The sequence below is a fragment of the Homo sapiens genome, chromosome 3, assembly GCF_000001405.40.
Source record: "Homo sapiens chromosome 3, GRCh38.p14 Primary Assembly".
Lineage (NCBI taxonomy): Eukaryota > Metazoa > Chordata > Mammalia > Primates > Hominidae > Homo > Homo sapiens.
Window position 1 is genome coordinate 100,322,832 of NC_000003.12, and position 10,987 is coordinate 100,333,818.

At 39.2% G+C, this 10,987-nt stretch overlaps 1 protein-coding gene across 4 annotated transcripts in view, besides 1 other annotated feature; it reads left to right on the top strand.

The window, feature by feature from the left end:
• The window catches only part of TBC1D23 (TBC1 domain family member 23), a 64,247-nt gene extending 61,840 nt beyond the window's left edge, over positions 1–2,407 (top strand). For all 4 annotated transcript variants that reach the window (NM_001199198.3, NM_018309.5, XM_017006841.3 and 1 more), the window contains one exon: positions 756–2,407. In NM_001199198.3, the coding sequence (NP_001186127.1) occupies positions 756–837 (82 nt within the window). In that variant the 3' untranslated portion in view covers positions 838–2,407. The remainder of the gene's footprint in view (positions 1–755) is intronic.
• Positions 5,371–5,601: a silencer, noted in NCBI's record as "fragment chr3:100047046-100047276 (GRCh37/hg19 assembly coordinates)". NCBI's record gives its function as "represses an EF-1alpha promoter that drives an FKBP-Casp9 reporter gene in an ReSE screen in HepG2 liver carcinoma cells {active_cell/tissue: HepG2}" and the evidence as "EXISTENCE:reporter gene assay evidence [ECO:0000049][PMID:32094911]".

Here is a 10,987-nt window from a genome sequence, read left to right on the forward strand (position 1 = left end):
TTCTCTCTCTCCCTTTCTTCATTGATATTTATGGTTCTCTATTCTGCCTCGCATATAACACTCATAGATGATTTATACAGTGGAATTGTTAGGTTTTACCGAAGATGCTTTTTTAAAAAAATACCACTATTTTTATTCTCCAAGAAAAGAAAATTGACATTTAATCTATGGTGTTGATATTTTGCAATAGTTATCATAAGTCTTATCTTTTTTAAATATTTCAGACCTCATAACGCCATTTTATTATGTACATAACCCTCTGTAAAGTTTGGATAACTATAGCTACTTTTTATATAGGAATCTGTTTTAGTGAACTTAAATTATTTGCTTAAAGTCAAACTATTAAGTGTTGGAATTGTCATTGTCTTTGGAATTGGATACCAACAATTCATGTGTGATTTTTGTAGCTAATTGAAGGTACATCTGTATTGGGGAGTGGAATATTATATTTTTTATCTTGTGTTTTATCTAGCTATTACCTATATTTAATAATGGTTCAAAGAATTTTAGCTTTACACTATATGAAAAATCACATTGCCTTTGCATTTAGATTTTCTTTCGAAATAAGCTTTGGATTATGTTCAAATAAGCTATGGGAGTACATAGGAGGCATCTCTGCTGGCTTTGTGGGTTAGGGAAAGCTTCCCATTGGAGGTGACCTATCAGCTGAGTCTTGAAGGGAAAGCACTGTATTTTTATATACATATACATATGTATATATATATGTATATATATGTATTTTTTTTCCCCCTTAGGTATTTGATTCCAAATGCAGGGGATGCAACTAAAGCCATAAAACAGCAGATCATGAAAGTTTTGGATGCTTTGGAAAGTTAATATAAAAGAAAATTATATAAAAAGAAATTAAGACAACCAAGAGAAACATGGACATATACCTCCTGACTGAATACTAACTGGAGACCTTTCATTTGCTCATGGGGCTGCTTAAATAGCAGGTCTAAGAAAGTGTAAATTATTATAATCAATCTGTGGACAGTAAACTTTTTAAAAATTTTTCTTCTGCATTTTGGTTTTATAAAATGATGTATTATAAAGGTCAGTTATTAAATTACTTTGAAGTAACTGACCCTGTGCCCTTATGGACTAAGTAAGGGTACAGAATGCAGTTCTGTTTTGAAGAGCTGTTTTAAGGGAACATGCATCACTTTCGGGATCAAAAACAACTGTACACATACATATCTGCAGTGTCTTCACTGAAAATTAGAGATAGAATTAGTTGAAGAGACTTCCTTAATTGCTACATTGTTTTACTCACTGAGCAATATCAGAAACTAAAACATAGATTAATAATTCACTCACTGTTTCTATTCTTCTTAAAAAGAGTGAAATCTTTTTAATGGAATGGTTGAAGATTCCTGCCAACTCAAAATACAGTACAGCTAGTAAAATGTTGAAACATCAGTTTCTAAATCACCTTTGCTCCATTAGCTAATTTTTTGGACACTAAATGCTTCAAAGATAAGAAACTTCATCCTAATGATTTCTAAAGAGCAGTTAAAAGCATTAAAATAAGTAGGTAGGCTGTTAAGATTAAAATTAACATTTTGGGGACAGAATTGTGTCTGTAAAAATGTCATTGGTTTTATTACAAGCGGATTATTTTATTCATATTTTAAAACAAATGTTTAAGCCACATTGATTTATCCTCATTGAGGATTATGGTCTGTGACCACAGTAATATCCACTTATATAAATGCCAAATAATCAGAGAGCTTATAAAGTACAATTGTTTTTGTCATCATTTTCTGAATTTCTTTCTCTTCTTTTGGTTTTGTCCTCTCATTGAAGTTCCAGTGGTTTGAAATTAGTTTTGGACACATTGTCTTAATGTACTGAAAATTGCTCTGCTGTATTTTGCAGCGTTCTTCATTTAATTTATAATGGTCCATATTAGACACATTTGGTAAGAGAAGTCCAGGAACACATTTAGGGCCATGGAATAGTATTTTGTAAAATCCATTTGGGAAGTTGCAATACCCACAATCTGACATGTCCTAAAATGTAAGGGATTATCTCTAAGGGGTTGATGGGAGAAATATTTAGATGTACCCTGTTAACAGCCAGTCATTTTGATTTACTTATGGAAATCAAGTGAATAAAAGGCAACATAATTTGGGAAATTTTATTCTAATATCTAATAAAAACAGTTTGAGTGGTTGAAGACATCTGCATGAAATTGCACCTAGGTGCATTACTTGATATAACTCTCCCCTAAAACTGTTGTAATTGCATTTTTTCCCTTTTCTTGGCACCCCTTTAGAAATGTACTGAAGTCTCATTTTTCACCCATTTCAGCCATGGGACATTTTTCATAATATTAATGTAAAGATGTTTGTGTTACTGTTTATAAATTACAATTGTAAATAAATTACTAGTTTGCCCAAAACTTTGTTCTTAAAGACACTGTCTCTCTCTTTCTTTTCCCTATTTGCAAATCTCTTAAGGTCACAAAATTAGAGAATTGAAGGCATGTAGTAAGTTACCTACTACCATGAACTACACAGTTACAGGATTATTTATGACTATTAAATGAAAATACATTTCATTGACTGTTCTAGGCACTTGTGTAGATCATCCTCCCTTCACTGGCCCACTGACCACAGAGCTGGGAATCACTCTGGGGTGGCCACCTCTCATGGGCTCTTGTGATTGCAAAGGTTGCAACTTTAGGAGGTTGTTTTTTGTATTTTCAAGATAAGGAAACCAAGGCTCAAAGAAATTGAGTGAAAAGAGAAAGTATTCCTCTTATCTCCACACTCCTTGGAAATTATTTTTGTCTGTGAAGGTATACAATTATTTCTCCTATATAGGATTGATGCCATTTGCCCACCATTAATAAAACTTGGTCAGTATGATAAATTTGTATTGACATACTCAACCATTTTTGTCACTGGTATGTTTCACACAGGACCTTTAACTCCTTAGCACGATACTCTTACATTAGACTAACCAGCCATAAATTGGCAGTCCTAGTTAAAATTCATAGTTTGATGTGGGGGAACCCCAACTCTATAGGTTGAATGAGTAATGAATGTAATATCTCAGTTTGATCACTAACATCTTGAACTTAACATATTTATTGAAGTATAATTGACATGCCTTAAAGTCCCCCCTTTCAGTAGTTATTGGAATATCCACAGAGTTGTGCAATTCTAGTTCTAGAACATTTCATCACCTCAGAAAAACAGCACAAATCCATACCTGTTAGTAGTCACTCTCCTTTCCCTCTTCCCTCCAGCCCTTACCAAGCACCATCCTACTTTCTGTCTCTGTGGATTCTGGACATTTCATTATAAAAGGAATCATACAATATGTGGTTTTTGCCAGCTTTTTTCACTTAATATACATATTTTGTTTTTCTAATTTTTAAATCACATCTAACTTCAAAACATATATACACATATACTTTTTTTTGGGTAGGGGGCGGGGATGGAGTCTCACTGTGGTGCCCAGGCTGGAGTGGAGTGGTAAGATCTTGGCTCACTGCAACCTCCACCTTCCCTGTTCAAGCAATGCTCCTGCCTCAGCTTCACGAGTAGCTGGTACTACAGGTGTGCGCCACCACACCTGACTAATTTTTGTATTTTTAGCAGAGACAGGGTTTTGCCATGTTGGCCACACTGGTCTCAAACTTGTGACCTCAAGTGATCTGCCTGCCTCAGCCTCCCAAAGTGCTGGGATTACAGGCATGAGCCACCATGCCCAACCTCAAAACATAATATTTTAAAGCTTCATTTGCATTGTAGCATGTATCAGAATTTCATTTTTGTGGCTGAATAGTATTATATAGATATAACTCATTTATTCATCAGATGGTGGACATTTGGGTTGCTTCCACTTTTTGGCTATTATGAATAATGCCCTGTGAACATTTGTGTACAGGTTTTTGTGTTAACATACGTTTTCAGTTCTTTTGGATATTACCTAGGAGTAAGTGGAATTACTGAGTTGTATGTTAATTCCATGTTTAACTTTTCGAGGAACTTCCAAACTATTTTCCACTTTACATCCCCACTGGCAATGTGTGAGTGTTCTGATTTCTCCACTTGCTTGCCAACACTTGTTACTGTGTCTTGTTGATTATAGAGATCCTTAGAGTGGCCACTGGGTACACCCACAAGTTCACTAACAGGGCAAGGAAAAACAGGTTGCCCATTTTTCATATCAGTGGAGTTTGATGGAAAGAGAGGTGCATTTTTGGAGTTGTTGTTATGTGTCAGAGACTTTGGAGAAATTGATTAAGGAAGGATTTTCATTTTCCTGATTGATAAGAAAAGAATTCAGCTATGGTCACTTACCCCTGCTAGAATGTTATGCAGTGTATTATGTGGCATGCAGTGTGTTACATAGTGCTTAACAAAAATATTTTTTATCAAGGACTTTTAAGGATCAAGGACTTAGATCTAAGACCTGAAACTATAAAAATTCTAGAAGATAACACCAGAAAAACCCTTCTAGACACTGGCTTAGGCAAGGATTTCATGACCAAGAACCCAAAAGCAAATGCAATAAAAACAAAGATAAATATTTGGGACAATTAAACTAAAGAGCTTTTTTCACGGCAAAAGGAACAATCAGCAAACAGACAACCCACAGAGTGGGAGAAAATCTTCACAATCTATACATCTGAAAAAGGACTAATATCCAGAATCTACAACAAACTCAAATTAGCAAGAAAAAAATCCCATCAAAAAGTGTGCCCATGGAATACTATGCAGCCATAAAAAAGGATGAGCTCATGTCCATTGTAGGGACATGGATGAAGCTGGAAACCATCATTCTGAGCAAACTGTTGCAAGGAAAGAAAACCAAACACCGCATGTTCTCACTCACAGGTGGGAACTGAACAATTAAAACATTTGGACACAGGGTGGGGAACATCACACACCGGGGCCTGTCGTGGGGTGCAGGGCGGGGGGAGGGATAGCATTAGGAGATATACCTAATGTAATTGACAAGTTAATGGGTGCAGCACACCAACATGGCACATGTATACATATGTAACAAACTTGCACGTTGTGCACATGTACCCTAGAACTCAAAGTATAATTTAAAAAAATTCAGGGCATATAAACAATCAAATTTTGTTCTACCACAAAAAAAAAGTGTGCTAAGGACATGAATAAACAATTCTCAAAAGAAGATATACAAATGGCCAACAAACATATGAAAAAATGCTCAACATCACTAATGATTAGGGAAATGCAAATCAAAACCACAATGTGATACCATCTTACCCCTGCAAGAATGGCCATAATCAAAAAATTAAAAAGAAAAAAAGATATTGGCATGGATGCTGTAAACAGGGAACGCGTCTATGCAGCTGGTGGGAATGTAAAGTAGTACAACCACTGTGGAAAACAGTGTGGAGATTCCTTCAAGAACTAAAAGTAGAACTACCATTTGATCCAGCAGTCCCACTGCTGGGTACCTACCCAGAGGAAAAGAAGTCATTGGTTGGTCACGGTGACTCACACCTGTAATCTCAGCACTTTGGGAGGCCAAGGCAGGTGGATCACCTGAGGTCAGGAGTTCGAGACCAGCCTGGCCAACATGGTGAAACCCCGTCTCTGCTAAAAATGCAAAAATTAGTTGGGCATGGTGGTGGGCACCTGTAATCCCAGCTACTCGGGAGGCTGAGGCAGGAGAATGGCTTGACCCCAGGAGGCGGAGATTGCAGTGAGGTGAGATTGTGCCATTGCACTCCAGTCTGGGTGACAGTGCAAGATTCCATCTCAAAAAAAAAAAAGTCATTGTAAGAAAAAGATAACTTGCACACACATGTTTACAGCAGCACAATTTGCAATTGCAAAAATGTGGAACCAACCCAAATGCCCATCAATCAATGAGTGGATAAAGAAACTGTGAGATATATATATATATATGATATTCAGCCATAAAAAGGAATGAATGAATGGCATTCGCAGCGACCTGGATAATATTGGAGACTATTTTTCTAAGTAAAGTAACTCAGGAATGGAAAACCAAACATCGTATGTTCTCACTCATAAGTAGGAGCTAAGCTATGAGGATGCAAAGGCATAAGAATGAGACAATGGACTGTGGGGACTCGGGGAAAGAGTGGGAAGGGGGTGAAGGATAAAATACTACAAATTGGGTGCAGTATATACTGCTCGGGTGATGGGTGTACCCAAATTTCACAAATCACCACTAAAGAACTTACTCAGGTTACCAAACACTACCTGTTCCCCAATAACCTATGGAAATAAAACAACTAAAATAAATAAATAAAATGAAAAAAATAGACCCCCACAAATAATGGGCAGTTGTTTTGAGCAAAGTTTCAAAGGCAATTCAATAGAGAAAGGATAGTCTTTTCAACATACACTGTTGGAACAACTAGATACCCATATACAAAGAAATTAATCTCAACCTATATACCTCAAACCTTATACAAAAATTAACTCAATGCATCATACAGCTAAATGTGCAATGTAAACCTATAAAACTAATAGAAAACAGGAGAAAATTTTCATGATCTTGGGTTAGGCCATAGTTCTTAGACATATGAAAAGCACAATCCATAAGAATGAATCATGTCTATTATCCCAGCACTTTGGGAGGCCGAGACGGGCAGATCACGAGGTCAGGAGTTTGAGACCAGCCTGGCCTGCAAGGTGAAACCCCCTCTCTACTAAAAATACAAAAATTAGTCGGGCTTGGTGGCGTGCGCCTGTAATCCCAGCTACTTGGGAGGCTGAGATAAGAGAATCACTTGACTCTGGGAGGCAGAGGTTGCAGTGAGCCGAGATCACCACTGCACTCCGGCCTGGGTGACAGAGAGAGACTCCATCTCAAAAAAAAAAAAAAAAAAATCTTAAATTTAAAAATTTTGCTCTGCAAAAGACACTTAATAGAAGGGAAAGACAAGCTACATACTGGGGAAAAATACTGTACTTGCAAAACATACCAACAAAGGATTTGTGTTCAGAATATATAAAGATTTTCACTACAACAATAAGAAAACAAAACAATGGGGAAAAGAAGCAATTCTTCAGAGAAAGATGGGTGGCAAATAGGCATGTGAAAAGATCATCATTAGCTGTTGGGGAAATGTAAATCAAAACCACACCAGTTAGAATGGCTAAAATTAAAAACAAAAAATGACAATACCAAGTGCTGGTGAGGATATGGAATAACTAGAACATTCATACATTGCTGGTGGGTGTACAAAATGGTACAGACACTCTAGACAACAGTTTGGCCATTTCTTGTAAATAAACATATGTTTACTATACAACCCGGCAATCCCTCTCCTAGGTATTTACCCTAGGGAAATGAAAACTTAACATCCACACAAAAGAGTTCATGGTTATAACTGCTATACTGTGCCACCTCTTTGCTGTTTGCTGTCCTGGAAACAGCAGGCGAGAGCTAGTGGCCTTCTCAGTGTTTGCTTTTCTCTTCAGGTTGCCAGCTTTACTCAGTTACCTGTCTAACCCACGTGGGTATATTAAATTGGTCTCCCAACGTTAAGTAACTTGTCCAAAGTTACATGGTGTGTCAGCAAAGTTTTGAACTCAGGTCTCCTGATTTGCAGAGAACTGCATCAGAAATTTAAAAATTCTGTGTATCTATGCATTTATGTGTATATTTAGATGCATACACACTCTTTGACTCCTCCCTGTACACAGTTCTAACCCAATATGATAATTCCCAAGTTTGATCCTTTGCTTTCTGTAGTATACTCTTTCCTTCTCCGATTGCATCTACTCATAGATTTCTTCTCTTATTCTTTGCAAATGACTGCAATTCTGATTTTCAGCCCCTAATTTCTGACTGCTGTAAGTCACTTGCGTATTGTGGTGTTACGAGGTATACACACACATACATACACACATTTTCAAGCACGGTCCCTGACTCCCATAGCCTTGTTAAGTCTTTTGTTATAATGCCAGTTGTGTTAGGCCTCAGGGGCAGGCCTCAGGAAACAGAATCTCTCTGGCCTCTCCTGCTCTCCTTTCACCTGCCCCAAGGCAGAACTCTAATCTTGCTGATTGTGGGTCTTAAATACCTCCTGAGAGCTCCTGCCCCATCCCTTGGAGGAAGGAATGCTGATAACATAAAGTTCCCATAAAGGCCAATAGAACTGGGTTTGGAGAGCTTCTAGATAGCTGACCACGTTCGTGGAGGTTCTGGAGGGCATGGAAGCTTTGTGCCCCTCCTCCCATACTTTGCCCTACACATCTCTTCCTTGTAGCCTTTGCAACATCCTTTATAATAAACCAGGAAACATGTTTCCATGAGTTCTGTGAGCTGCTCCAGCAAGTTATTCAAACCCAAAGATGGGATCATGGCAACCCCAACTTGAAAGTGGTTGGTCAGAAGTTCTGGAGTCCAAGACATATGACTGGTGCCGGTGTGTCTTCCTCAGGTAGACAGTGTTGGAATTGAATAGGAGGATACCCAGCTGGTGTCCGCTGCTTGGTGGTAGGGAGGAACCCCCTCACATTTGGTCCCAGAATTCTTCTGTGATGATGATTGTTGTGGTGGTGATGTAAGAGCAGAGGAAAAACACGGAGAGTTTTCCTGGAACACATATCCACCTCTCCCCCAAAAACTGAGCTCACGTTCCCCTAGACTCACCTCATACTATGAAGCGGCAGCTGGAGGAATGCTGATGGAAAGGAGAGACCAGTTAGGAAGTGCCTGTAGCAGTCTCCCCAAGGTGAGGAAGGCCTACCTGTGGACGGTGGTGGTGGGAACTGAAAGGAGGAATCAGGGACATTTCCTGAGAGTAAGAAGAGCCCTGTCCCTTACCAGAGGTGGGGAATGAAAGACTCGAAAGTCACTGAAGTGACTTAGGTTTTCTTGGAGGGCTGGAAAGCAGGGAGAATTAGAAAACTGGGCATAAATTGTGGTGCCTGTAAGTGCTGGGTGGAGAAGCTCTTTTGGAGGTGATACATTTAGTTTCACATAGTTGAGTTGGAACTGATGTTGAGACATGTAAATAGAGATGGCGGCAGCCGGAGATGTTGAAATAGGTCCTCTGGAGTAAAAATAAAAATCTGACTAGTAACAGCCTGGAAATGGTCATTAAGCCTGTGAGACATGGGTAGAAATGAGAATAGAGACTGAAAAGGCACACCAGATTTTTAGCTGGGCTTTCAAGATCCATTTGGCCTGGTAGTTTTGTTTTTTGGCCTATTTTCATACGTCAGATGAACAGGAACATGGAAACGAAGGCAGAGCTGCTGCAGAGAAGGGACAGTGAGGGGAGTGGTGGTGGGGAGGGCTGCACAAACTTCACCCTTCAGCCAGATTCTTCTTCCTTTGCCTCTAAATCCTTTCACATACAGGTGAGGAAAAGGTCCTGAGGGTGAGGTGATTTGCCCTAGGTATTAACATCTAATCAGTGTCAGAGCCAGAACCAGAACCCAGTGACTAGCTTTTCCATTGTGCCCAGAAAGTTCTAAAGAAAGGTTTAAAAAGCGCACTTTCATTTAGCTTTTCCTTTTCTAGGAACACCCCTAGTGCCCAAGTCAGCAGTTTCCCTGCATGTGACAGAGGGACACAGTACCCATAGGCTTTTGGTCTTGATGGCCTTCTCCTGGTCCTGCTTCTCTCTCTCTCTTTTTTTTTTTAATGGAGTCTGGCTCTGTCACCCAGGCTGGTGTGCAGTGGCACAATCTCGGCTCACCGCAACATTCGCCTCCCAGGTTCAAGTGATTCTGCTGTCTCAGCCTCCTGAGTAGCTGGGATTACAGGTGTGTGCCACCACGCCCAGCTAATTTTTGCATTTTTAGTAGAGACGGGGTTTCACCATGCTGGTCAGGCTGGTCTCGAGCTCCTGACCTCTTGATCCACCTGCCTCCACCTCCTGAAGTGCTGGGATTATGTTAATTATTAAATCTAGGAGGAGGACACAGCTGTTCCTCCACCAGGCAGTGGCGCCCGGCCTGGTCCTTCTCCTCTAATGGCTCCTTCCCAGGCTCCACAGGCCCTTCTTCTTTTGCGTGTGCCTTTCATACTCCGCTTGTGTGTTCTCATCCAAATTCAGAGCTTCCTCTTAGTTAAAACTGCTGGTGACTCCCAAGTCAATTTCCAGCCCAGACATCTTCTGAGCTTGAGGCTTTGGTCCGGTTGCCTACTGGGCATCTCCACCTGGATGCCATGGCTCATGCCTATAAGGCCAGCACTTTTTGAAGCCAAAGTGGGAGGATCACTTGAGCCTAGGAGTTTGAGACCAGCCTGGGCAACACTGTAAGAATCCACTTCTAAAAAAATGAAATAATTTGCATTTTGAACAAGCACTTCAAATAACATTTCCAGCCAGGTTTAGGACCACTATTAGTTACAATGTTAGTCCAATAAATTTGGAAATCTAGATGAATTTTTTTAACAGGTTGTAAGTGACCACAGGTTGACCCTGAAACCTCATAGGTTAATAAGCATAGCAGAAATGAAAAGGTTTTTAAAGATCTTCCTGCTACAAAGCCAAGTCCAGATAGTCTCTTAAGCTGCAGAAAGACCATAACTGCTATGTATTTCCCCCCAATTTTTTTTTATGAAAGCTTAAAATTTTAAACTTCTACAAAGTTTTAATCTAGTACCATGAACAGCTGTGTCCTCCTCCTAGATTTAATAATTAACATTTTGCCATATTTGCTTTATCTTATGTGTTTTCTTTTTGCTGACGATTTTCAAGTCAAACATTCTGATGGTTCATCCCTAATACTTCCTCATTTTCTAAGAGTAAAGAATTGTCACAAGCACAACACTATAGCACACAAAATAATTCAGAAAAGCATCAAATATCTCGTTCATATTTAAATCTCCCTAGTTGCCCCCAAAATGTTTTTATAGTGTTCTTTTACAAACCAAGATCTGTTTCAGTATAAACTATTCTGGGGCATTCCAAAAGGTGGTTAAGTTTTGGATTTTTGTTCCACAAGTCTGACAAGGCACAAAAACACAAAACACGAAAATTAAAAAGCAATCTAAT